Here is a 13,303-nt window from a genome sequence, read left to right as displayed (position 1 = left end):
ATACACAAATTAATAAACGTCATACACCACACTAACAGAATGAACGATAAAAATCACACAATCATCTGAAAAAGTATTTGACAAAATTAAATATCCTTTCATGATAAAGACTCTCAATAAATTAGGTAAAGAAGGAATGTACCTCAACACAACAATAAAGGCCATATATGATTAGCCCACAGCCGATAAATCTAACGGTGAAAAGTTGAAAGCTTTTCCCCTAACATCAGGAACAAGAAAAGGGAGTCCACTCTCACCACCTCTTCAACAGAATATTCGAAGTCCTAGTCAATTAGGCAAGAAAAAGAACTAAATGGCACACAAACTGGAAAATACAAGATAAACTGTCTCTATTTGCAAATGACATGACCTCATACATAGAAAACCCTAAAGCCTGCATAAAAAAATTGTTAAAAACTATTATAGTAAGTTCAGTAAAGTTGCAGAATATAAAATATACAAAAATTAGTTGTATATTTTTGTATACAACTGGCTGAAAGATTTGTACACTAAAAACTAGAAGACAAAGGAATTGAAAAAGATACATACAAATGGAAAGATAATCTGTTCATGAATTGAAACAATTAATGTTGTTAAAATGTCCATACTACTCAAAGCAATCTATGGATTCAATGCAGCCTCTATCAAAATACCAATGGCATTGTTTCACAAAAACAGAAAAAAGAATCCTAAACTTCGTATGGAACCATAAAAGACCGTGAATAGCCAATTGTGAGTAAGAAGAACAAAGCTGGAGTCATCACACTTTCGGATTTCAAACTATGTTACAAATCTAAACACTATGGTACCAGCATGAAAACAGACATCTATACCAATGGAACAGAATAGAAAACCCAGAAATAAATGCATGCATTTACAGTTAATTGGTCTTTGATAAAGATGCCAAGAACACACATTGGGGAAAGTATAATCTCTTCAATAAATGGTGTTGGGGAAACTGGATATCTACATGCAGGAGAATGAAATTGGACCCTTATCCCTGACCATACACAGAAATTGACTCAAAATGGATTAGACTTAAACATAAGACCTAAAACTTTAAAACTAGTAGAAGAAAACACTGGGGAAAGAAAACTTCCTGATGTGGGTCTGCACAATGATTTTTTGGACATGACCCCAAAAGCACAGGCAACAAAAGCAAGAATAGACAAATGGGACTGCGTCAAACTAAAAGGCTTCTGCACAGCAATGCAAGCAATCAACAGAGTAAAGAGACAACTTAAAGAATGGGAAAAAATGCTTGCAAACCTATCTGATAAGGAGTTAATATTCAAAATGTCTAGATAACTCAATAGCAAGAAAACAACCTGATTTTAAAATGGGCAAAGGATCTGAATAGACATTTCTCGAAAGAAGACTTTAAATGGCCAAATGGTCACCAGGTATATGGAAAAATGCTCAACAGGCCAAAGGATAGCTAAATGTGAAAATACGCTCAACATCACAGGAAGATGCAAATCAAAACCACAATGAGATATCACCTCATACCAGTTAGAATGGATACTATGAAAAAGACAAAAGATAACAAGTATTGGCAAGGATGTGGAGAAAAGAGAATCCTGGTACACTGTTGGTGGGAGTGTAAACTGGCACAGCCATTATGGAAAACGGTAAGAAGGTTCCTCTAAACATTAGAAACAGAACTACCATATGACTCAGCAATGTCACTTCTGCTACACATCAAAAACAACTGAAATCAGGATCTGCACTCCCATATCACTGCAGTATTAGTCACGATAGCCAAAATGTGAAACAACATAAGTGTGCATCAGATGAATGGATAAAGAAAATGTGGCATATATAATCAAATGGAATATTTATCAGCCATAAAACAAAAAGGAGGCCAGGCACAGTGGCTCACGCCTGTAATCCCAACACTTTGGGAGGCCGAGGCAGGTGGATCACTTGAGGCCAGAAGTTTGAGGCCAGCCTGGCCAACATGGCGCAACCCCATCTCTACTAAAAACAGAAAAATTAGCCAGGCCTGGTGGTACACACCTGTAATCCCAGCTACTCAAGAGGCTGAGGCAGAAAAATTGCTTGAGCTCAGGAGGTGGAGGCTGCAGTGAGCCGAGACTACGCCACTGCACTCCAGCCTGGGTGACAGAGTGAGACTGTTTCGAAACAAGAACAAAAGGGAAATACTGCCACTTGTGATATGAATGAACCTAAAAACATCAAATTCACAGAACTCAGAGAAAGTAGAACGGTGGTTTCTAGAGGGTTGGGAAAGGGGGAGATCGTGGAAGATGTTTGTCAAAGGGCATAAACTTTCAGTTACAGAAGATGAGTAAGTTCTGAAGATCCAGTGTACAGCATGGTAGACTATAATTAATAATACTGTTCGGCGCACTTGAAATTTGCTAAGAGCAGATCTTAAGGGTTCTAACAACACACACAACAAGTGGTAACTATGTGAGGTGATAAAGGTGTTAATTAGCTTGATTGTGCTAATCCTTCACAATGTATACATGTATCAGATCATGTGGTACACCGTACTTAAATGCATGCTATTTTATCAATTTATAGCTCAATAAAGCTGGGAAAAATTATTCAAGATAAAATCATGAATTAATGACACAGATGATGAGATAATTCATTCTCCATTGAAAATGCACACTAAGAAGTTACATTTTAGATCTCCATTTTTGGCCATCTTCAATATCTACAGAAGAATTCAGCCACAGACAATATAATAAAATCAGTTATCACTAGAGGAAATAAAAAGAAAAATAATGTTTATATTTATTCTCCTTACTCTATAATTTTTTATTTCTCATTTTAACAATCTGATATCAATTATATTAACTAATGGAAAAAGCAGACTGGCTCCTGGCATTAGAGAAGACAAACAAATGGAGAAAAATTCTGTTTTTATGAATCAAATTGCTTTTTCTCAAAATTAAGTTCCTCCTAACATTCATTTACTAGATGCAAAAATTTTGCTCTGTTTTAAGAGAGAGAAAAAAATTTAAATGGTGCAGAAATTCCTTTCACCTTGCATTTGTGAATTATTCCAGATGGTGCTGGCAACCTTTAATGCCAATAGCAGTAGCCTGGTTATTTGGGGCATTATGACATGTGGAATAAATAACTGAATTAAAACTACTAGACTATGTTTTGGTTAGAAGGTAGATATTTAATCCAATCAAAGCCAATTTCATTCCTCAGCACTTTCCATCACAATTATATCGAAGAGTAAGTGATTTTAAAAATCCTACTTTACCTACAAATCATAAAACTAGGTTATGGTGTTTTTAGTCGTGTTTCAGAAAAAACAATTCAAGAAATTCATTACCCTCATCCTATCCAATCAACCACTCCGTGTGTGTGTGTGTGTGTGTGTGTGTGTGTGTGTGTGTGTGTGTAAGAGACAGCCTCATTTTGTTGTCCTGGCTGTAGTAGAGTGGCGTGATCATAGCTCACTACAGCCTTGAACTCCTGGGCTCAATTGATCCTCCTGCCTCAGCCTCCCAAGTAGCTGGGACTATAGGCACACATCACCATGCTCAGCTAATTTTTGTAGAGACAGCACCTTGCTATGTTGCCCAGGCTGGTCTTGAACTCCTGGCCCCAAGTGATCCTCTCGTCTCAGACTCCTGAGTTGCTGAGATTACAGGTGTGAGCATTCCACCTGGCTCACAGACATACTAATGACTACCTCCATCAACTCCAAAAAGACATAATAAAATGCTAACTAAGGAATACAGAGCATGATCCCAAATGTATGTATATACACACATATAATGAAGAATATTAAGATGGACAAATTAAGCATGTTTTTTTCTTTTTGTTTTTTGAAAATTCATTTTCTTTTCTTTTCTTTCTTTCTTTCTTTTTAGACAAGGTCTCACTTACTCACCTAGGCTAAACTGCAGTGGCACAATCATAGCTCATTTCCCAGGCTCAAATGATCGTCCTATGTCAGCCTCCCAAGTAGCCGGGACTATAGACGTATGCCACCATGCCTGGCTAATTTTGTTATTGCTGTTTATTTTTTGTAGAGATGAGGTCTCACTATGTTGCCCAGGCTGGTCTCAAACTCCTGGGCTTAAGCAATCCTCCAGCCTCAGCCTCCCAAAGTGCTGGGATCACAGGAGTGAGCTACAGCGCCCAGCCTATTTTTTTTTCTTTTTTATCATTTTTTTACAGTTTCTAAATTTTCTACTTCAGACATAAAATATTTTAAAATTTTCTTTAAAAGTTGTTTCTAAAAAGAGATATGGTTGTATCTCAAAATAGGTTGTTTGCCTATATCAGACTAGATATACAAAGTAGTACAGTATGGCACATTTTTTTGGTCTTTGATTCTTTTAAGTTTTTGGTCTTTGATTTTCTTAATCCATTTTCTTTTCATATTTTAAATCTCCTATCTTTAGTTTCACCACTATTATTTCTTCACCTTCACTCTATAGGCTAAAGGATGACTATCAAGATAAAATGGTTTTATCTATGATAGGCAACCAAGAAAAGTATAGAAAATTGTGAGACAATTAAATCAATCTCTTGCCTACCCCCACCTTCTCGTCCTGTGTATGCGTGTCTGTCTGTGTACGTGTGTGTGTGCATGCACATGGTTTTATGAATGTATGCATAGTTCTGAATTCATGAATTAACTGGAAAAGATGAAAACACACAATGATTTTCTTGCCTCATTATTATCCTTTTCAATACTGTTTCTCTGGGAAGAGATATAAGAGGGAGTATCATCTAAATATAAGTTAAAAGAGTAAAAGGAGGGTATTTCTGGAATGTATATTTAGGAAAAAACATTCTGAGACATAACAGAACTTGTGAAATGAGGAATTTCCTTCTTTTTCCTTATAAGTAGATTAACATCTAGTTTGATTTGAATCTAAATTCTCAAGAAAACCCAGATGTTAGTAAATTCCTATCGTGAGGTGCCATGGATTTAATGGTTTAGTAAATTTATTAAAACTCTCTCAACTGCTGTTTTGCCTGAACTAATCTGAATTTAATTCATAGTGAACATAGATGTTTTACCATTCTTCAAGCAGGAAGAGGACAAATTAGAGCAATTCATAAATAAATTAATGCTTTAAAATTAGATTCACAATTGCTAAGCTCCCAACTATTATAATAAACAGTGAAATGATGAATAAAAGATTTAACTCTCTCCACCAGCACACAGATGTAAGCAAACAAAAGTGTAAGAAGACAGAAAAACGAAGATGGGAAAGAAAATAGTAGTTGAATTTTTACTTGTCTCTGCCACCAGAAGTTTTACAAAATGTGGTCCACCATCTTGCTATCTAAAGTGTGATCCATGAACTTATATCATGAATATCACCTTAGTGTTTGGTAGAAACACCCAATCTCAGGTTGACGCCAGACCTATTAAATCAGAATCTGCACTTTAACGAGGTTCCCAGGGGATATGAATACACACTAAATGCACAATGTTAAGAAACAACAGTCAATGCAGACTATGCCAGGCAGGCTTTGCCCATATTTACTTTGTTATTGCTGCTCTAAGCCTCTGTCTCTTAAAATCCAAACTCAAATTTAGGTAAATCTATTAGATCACAACTATTATGGATGCTCCTAACTCCCATACCACTTTAACTGAATCTATCTTATGACATGTTGACTTGTTCTCCACATTAGGGAGGGAGTCTACATACCTGTTTTACTGTACTTTATGAACATGCCTTCCTAGAGGTTAAAGTCCTCCTCTGATATATTTTCAAAATCCACAATTCCTAGTACAGTTCCTTGTGGTTTATAGGTGCTCATTAAACATTTGTTGAACAAATGCGTAAAAAGGAAACTAATCATACCCTACTGACAAATCCACCCAAAACAAAACTCTGAGGGAAAATACAGTTTGTTTGAAGCTCTAAAACAATGGAATTACTAAAAAATAAATATCTTCCTTGTATCTTAAACACCTAGCAAAATTAATTGGTAAAGGAATTTTTATTATCTGTCTTTAACTTACTCCTTCCTATTAAGAAACTAACAACATTTGCCAGAGGCTACAATTCTACTGGCTGTTTTGCTTTACCAAAAAGGAAGTTACATATAGTTAGTGTTATACGTTACTATACCATAAAATCTCCCACACAAATTTAAGAAAAAATAGGATGCTTCTATTGTCAAATTAAAAAAAATATTATCAATCAAATTTCACTAAGGTATTTGTGTTTTCACTCAAGAAGAGAAGCTTAAGCTAGGGCTTAAATAGACAATAATTAAAAATAAAATGACATTGCTAAAGCACTGTGTATATTACATATAAACATCTATAATATTTATAAAATGTTACATATAGAGAATATGGGCCAGGTGTGGTGGCTCACGCCTGTAATCCCAGCACTTTGGGGGGACAAGATGGGTGGATCACTTGAGATCAGGAGTTTGAGACCAGCCTCAAAACCCCGTATCTGCCAAAAATACAAAAATTAGCTGGGCATGGTGGCACCTGTAATCCCAGCTACTCAGGAGTCTGAGGCACAAGAATTGCTTGAACCCAGGAAACGGAGGTTGCAGTGAGCCAAGATCGCGCCACTGCTCTCCAGTCTGGGTGACAGAGCGAGACCCTGTCTCCTCAAAAAAGAAAAAAAAAAAAAGAGAATATGTACACTCATAATAGTCCTACAGCACATGATGATAATGCTTTGGTCAATAATAGACTGCATCTTGTATGCAGATGCATATAAGATTATAATACTGGATTGTTACTGATGTTTACATGTTTAGGTACACAAATGCCACTGTGTAATGCTGCCTACAGTATTCAGTACGGTAACATGCTGTACAGGATTATAGCCTAGGAGCAACAGTCTATACCTTACAGCCTGGCTGTGCAGTAGGCTAGACCATCTATGTTTGTGTTAGTATACGCTATGATATTTGTACAATGATACCACATAGTGATGTTTCTCAGAACCTATCATCCCAATTATTCAATGACTCATGACTATATATATTGCACACGTGCACACACATACACACACTCTCTCTCATTTTACCTTCTTCCAAAGAGCTCCACTCACAGTTAACATAAAAATTAAGACATAAAATTTTATAATACTACTTAAATATCTAATTGTGCTTTAAAAAATACCTGCCCAAAGAGTAACCAAAAAACTAAAAATAAAATGCTAATAGTTTCACTTGTTATTTATCTAATTAAAATGCTTTTGACTATTTAAAAGCCATTTTAAATATGGGTTTTATTTTCACGGAACCATATTCCTAACTGTCTAAAGAAAACAAGTCATGATGAAAAGGAGAAAAGATATCAATACAGAACGTAAAAGTGTTAATTACTTGGAGTTTTACATAAACACTTTTAACTTCTGCAAAAATACTTTAAATGATCAATTCAACATTTTTTTAATCAGCAAGGAAACTGCAGGATAATTAGTCTCATCTTACATTTAGTGTCTTTTATTTCTATGCTTATTCTCACTACTACACTAATTTCTTTGAAGACAAGGACCCGATTTTATACAACTCCATAGATCTGAGATGAGGACTGTTTTATGGCAATTAATCAATGTTTACTGAAGTGTTTTGACTTTTTTTAATGCTGGTTCTCAAGATAACTTTAATCTATGACCATTAATTCAACAAATATTTAATAAAAGCTTCTATGGGCCAGGTGCTATCTTCGAAAATATGGCCGTGAACAAAACGGACAAAAATCTCAGCCCTCACTGAGTTTACTGTCCACTGGAAAGAAAGAGAACATAAGAAAAATACATGGTATGTCAGACAGTGATAAGTCCAATGGGAAAAATAAAAGAAGAAAGGAGATAAGGTGTGTAGGAATGGGTGGCGGGATTGGAATTTAAATTAAGTGCTCAGGAAAGGCTCCACTGCAAAGGCAACAGCTAAGCAAAGATGTGAAGGAAGTAAGGGAGTGAGCCTGAGTGTTCCTCACGAAGGAAACAGCAAATGCGAATGGGCACGAGGCCCAGGTGAAGCAGACAGATGCAGCAGGCCACTAATGAGGAAGGCAGGTAATGAGGGCCACCGCCTCCAGCAAGGGTTAGCAAACTTCCCTTGTAAAGGATCAGAGAGCAAATATTTCACATTTTGTGAATCATGTAAAATCTGTCTCATATATTTTTCTTTTTTGTTACCCTTGAAAAATGTAAAACCCATTCTTAGCTTGCAGGTTTTACAAAAATAGGTGCCAGATGAGCTGTAGTTTGCCAATCCCTGCTGAAGAGCTTTGCAGGTCACTGGAAAAGTCTTTTTCATTTGGAAGCAATTACTTGTTATCACAAAGTACAAAAGAATTGCTCAAAAACACAAATAAAAATAACAGTAACCTAATAAACATTCAAGTTTCTCTCAACTGATGTAAAGCCACATATTTGTCCATAATTTAAAACTAGCATGCATTCTCAACTGTCAACTTTTTCAGAAAAGAGCCAGCCCTCGCACATCTATTCAGCAAATATTTACTGAATGCCTGCCAAGAGTTAAATACAGCTAAGGAAGAAAAAAGAATACAATGTCCCCACCCTCAACAAACATATTGAACTTATTTTTAAAAGGGGGAGGCGGGAACATAAACTAACAAAAAAGTATGTCATAGCACAGTGACATGTGCTAAGAAAAAAATTAAAACAAGCAATGTAATGGAGACACTGGATGTGACAAACAGTGTATTTCAGCTACAATGGTCAGGGAAGAGACATATAATGATCTAGGAGAAGAGGCACAGAGAATCATAACTACAAAGGCTTTGAGGATAGAAAATGCTTAGCTTGTTTTAACAACAACAAAAAAGCTGATAGGTGGAGTATATGGAAGGGGAGGTTGTGGTGGGGTTACAGGGGTGGCAAGAAGCCATAGGATACAGAGCCTAAGCTGTGGAAGGAGCTTGGGTTTCACTGTGTATGATGGGAGAACACAGGAAGGTTTTAACCCAAGGGGTGACAATGTCTAAGAGTTCAGTTCAGGCCAGGTGCGGTGGCTCATGCCTGTACTCCCTGCTCTTTGGCAAAACCCTGTCTCTACAAAAAACACAAAAATTAGCCAGGCATGGTTGGTGTGCACCTGTAGTCCCAGCTACTTGGGAGGCTGAGGTGGGAGGATGGCTTGAGCCTGGGAGGCAGAGGTTGCAGTGAGCCGAGATTACGCCAGGCTACTCTAGCCCGGGTAACAGTGAGACCCTGTCTCAAAAAAGAAAAAAAAAAAAAGAGAGTTCAGTCTGATTGCTACAGAGATGGGACTAGTACAGAAGTGATATAGAAGCAGATAGCCATTGGAAAACAGCTGCAGTAATTTGAGCAACGGATAATGGTTCATAGAGAGAATCGAATGGAATCATTGAATTAAAGATACATTTTTGAGGTGTGATCGGGCTTACTAATAGATTTAACGTAGGGAGTAAGAAAAATCAAGGATTGCTTGGTGATTTATTGCCTGCACAATGAGTGAATGGTAGTACCATTTATTGAGGGTGGGAAACTGGGGAAGAAGAGGTTTTGAAAAAGGTGGGCCAGATCAAGAGATCTGTTCTGAGTAAAACTAAATTTGATATTTAACTAAAGACATTGTGTAGGTAATAAGTAGAGTATTCTGGAGCACCTTGTATATTATTAATTTGGTAGCTATTGCTGTGTTTTTGATAATGAATGCCTTAGACTTGAAGAAGTCTGAGGCCAGGCATGGTGGCTCATGCCTGTAATTCCAGCACTTTGGGAGGCCAAGGCGGGTGGATCACCTGAGGTCAGTAGTTCAAGACCAGCCTGGCCAATATGGTGAAATCCTGTCTCCACTAAAAATATAAAAATTAGCCAGGCGTGGTGGTGCATGCCTGTAATCCCAGCTACTCAGGAGGCTGAGGCAGGAGAATTGCTTGAACCTGGGAGGCAGAGGTTGCAGTGAGCTGAGATGGCACCATTACCCTCCAGCCTGGGCGACAGAGTGAGACTCCATCTCAAAAAAAAGAAAAGTCTGAGAATATATATATATATGTGTGTGTGTGTGTGTGTGTGTATATATATATATATGAGAATAGGACTGAGAGTGGAGCCTTTTAGAGGTCTAGAGGAAAGTGGCAGAATCAGAAACACCACAAAAGGAATGACAGGTGAAAGAGGGAGAAAATAAGGAGACACTGGTATCAGAGATACCAGAAGAAAACAGTGTTTCAAGGAAGGAAATGTGTAGAATGATGCTGAAAGGTAAAGTTAAGATGGGGCCATGGAAGTGATTTCTGTATTTGGTAACATGGATATTTATGATAACTTGACAAGAGCAGTTTCGTAAGACTACTAAAAATAGGAGCCTGATTAAACAAACTTGAAGAAAGGTAAGGAAAGGCAGATAGCAACTACAGTCAATTTTTTAAATAAGATTTGCTGAGAAGGGAAGAGAGAAACAGGGTGGCAACTAGAATAAGACATCACATCAAGAGAACGATTTTTTTTAAGACATTAAGTGGAACTCTAAAGGCAGGTTAGTACACTTGTGAACAAGGAGAAAGCAAAAATTTGAAAGGAGGGAGAAGGATAATGAGGGAGAAGCATCTTTAGGTTGGGCAACTGGGATAGGATTAACAGAAAAGGCAGCAGAGGTGAATTCAGGAATAGTGGCACTATTCAGGCAAAGGCTCCAGGTATAGATGCAAGTAGGCTGGTAGATTTGATGAGGAGACAAACTGGGTAGCATCCAATTATTTTAATTTTCTCAAAGAAATATCAAGTGAAGCCAGAAACTTTGAGTGGAGGCGAAGGATTTGCAGATTTGATAAGAGAACAGAATGATACAGTCACCTCTGAGGATGGGAAATCAAATCTAATAGTCCTCTTAATTAGGACTGCCTGCAGAATTAGGAGCAATTTGAGATCTGTGGCCATAAATTCAATGTGAGACCAGTCTGCAAAGCTTTGTGACTCTTCTTGCCCGGTAACATAAAGCTGCTCAGGGCAGAGGCAGTGTAGGAAGACACTTGCTTTAAATCAGGATTGAGGTTTTGCAAGCAAGTGTGACAAAAGAGAAAAGCAAGTAAGTCAAGGGGATTTAGAAGGGAGTAATTATACTGCTGGACCATGAAATCTGACCCGGGTAAGGAAGGAAGTGTGAGGCCATACGAGGTTCAAAACAAACAAAAAAAAGTAGTAGGTTGTTGTTTCAAGGTCCTAATTAGATGCAATAATTGGAGTGGAGACGAGAGTAAGTGAACTGGGAAGACAGGAGGTGTTGGCCAGAGCTGAATTGTATCTTTCAGTGTCACCATTCCAAGGTGGAGAATTCTGACGGGTAACAATCTGTTCCACATTTAGAGGCAGGTTTACTCTACCCAGAACAGCTACACAATGCCCTAAATCAGAGAAATGACACTGTCTAGGAATGGCAGCAGGCTAGAGGAAAAGCAAAGCAGAGAACCCATTCTCACATACCACAGCACAATTTATAGAGCTGTTTTTCCAAAAGAGTCATTGTCCATTTCCCAAACTGTGTAAAGATAAGAATCTAGTACTGCTGGTACAGTCAGAATCAATTTATAAAGTCTGATAAAACAGACCAAGGATATGACACAATGCTATGACTGTACTGTGCCAAGAAATCTGAAGGTGTGGCTGAGAAATAGAAAACCAAAGAAAACCCTGCCTTAAAACGCAGGCTTGGCTTTTTGGATCTATGACAGAATAAATATATTGTCAACTTTTTTCACTGTTTAAAAAAAGGAGGAGAGGGAATACTTTTATGTTGTTCACTTCTGGATTTCTTGCTGATTAATTCATAATGACAGAGGAAAGCACGGAGCACTTTTATGGAGCAAAGCACCCATTTCTGTTAAGCATTATCATAATTTTTATCACTGTATCAAACAAGACATACAACCTTACACTTCTAAGTAAAATGTTCATAGTAAGAGAAATAAGTGTATATAACCTCTTCCTCTACCTCTATTATTTTCTCCCTTAATTGTATTATTATTCTGCAACACTCCCACTTCATTTAATTTTCCTCTCCCTTTCATGTTTCTTGTTTATATGCCTCAGGCCTCACAGGATCAACCAGGGATTCAACCCTTCTTGGTAGAAGTCAGACATATAGTGGTTGCTAGCCCCATGACTCTGGAAAAGTAACGTACTAGTCTGAATAGACAATATGGCCTTTTATTTCCTATTAACTTGTTTCACTCTTCCCAGCTGAAAAGTGTTTTTGTACATATCATTCCATTTACTCCCCCCGCCCCCCACCCCCCATCCCTCCTCCCCGACCCCACCAAGGCTATGTCAATGATGAAAGTTGTGAATGCTACAGTTGAATTACACTGCACCAATAGCATATGAAAATGCATATGCAGGAATAATATGCCATCCGTATTTCTCCACCTGGTGATTTCACAGGGCTCAGCTTAAAAACTAATTTAATTTGGACATTTCACTCTAACATGCATAATACAGAAGTAACAGCTGGAGGCTAACTGTGGGAAATCAAGGCATAAAATCATTAATAAAAGCAGATCTATTAAGTAAATGATAGTAACACCTTTTTCTGTGCAAATAAATATTAGTGATCAGAAAATCTCATATGTAGTTTTCTCAATAAATGTTAGTTAAAATAAAATAAAAATCATTAAATCAAATGGGTAGAATACTATTAATCGCTAAAATATCCCAGTGAGATGGGAGAGAAGAATAAAGTTACGAGTTTCTGATTTCATTATTAAAGGATGCGCCTAGAGGAAAAGAACGGAAAGAAGGAAGGAGAGGGGGAGACCAAAAAAAAGGTAACTTGTAAATCTGAAAATTTGGGGACAATTTATTTTCATACAAAAACATTTACATTCCATTTCCAAATAGTCTTTAACCAATAAGATTCTGGTTTTATGTAAAACATGACTTAATTTACAAAGATTCCATATGCACACAATTGAATTATAAAAGTTGTTTATATTCCCACACTTTTTGCTTTTTTTGGATTCACACTAATTACGTAATAAAATCCATATTCCCTTAATTAGCACTAAAGGTCTTTAACAATAACCTATATTTTTAATATTCCCTCATGCAGTAAGCATGAGGAAAAGATTCTTTTGTTTTTTTGCCTTTTCAGATGTCTTCATGTCCCTGCCCTTTCCCTTACCCTGTCTTTGCCGAGCATAAGAGCATACATGCACTCATTCTGCAAGAAGAAGCTTAAATGGCAGTATCTTGGCAAAGCTTTCCAGCACTCCCCTAAACAGAACTGATTCCTTCATCTCCATGAGCTAAAGGGTCTGTATCTAGATGATAGTATAATATAGTATAATTATAAAAGAAAATATTTTCTAGATCCACTG

At 37.2% G+C, this 13,303-nt stretch overlaps 1 protein-coding gene across 54 annotated transcripts in view; it reads right to left on the bottom strand.

Moving 5' to 3' along the window:
- The window catches only part of ERC1 (ELKS/RAB6-interacting/CAST family member 1), a 505,975-nt gene that overhangs the window by 267,095 nt on the left and 225,577 nt on the right, over positions 1–13,303 (bottom strand). The window lies entirely within an intron of this gene.

This window comes from Homo sapiens, chromosome 12 (assembly GCF_000001405.40).
Source record: "Homo sapiens chromosome 12, GRCh38.p14 Primary Assembly".
In the NCBI taxonomy this organism is placed as follows: domain Eukaryota; kingdom Metazoa; phylum Chordata; class Mammalia; order Primates; family Hominidae; genus Homo; species Homo sapiens.
This window is presented reverse-complemented; position numbering and strand designations above follow the sequence as displayed.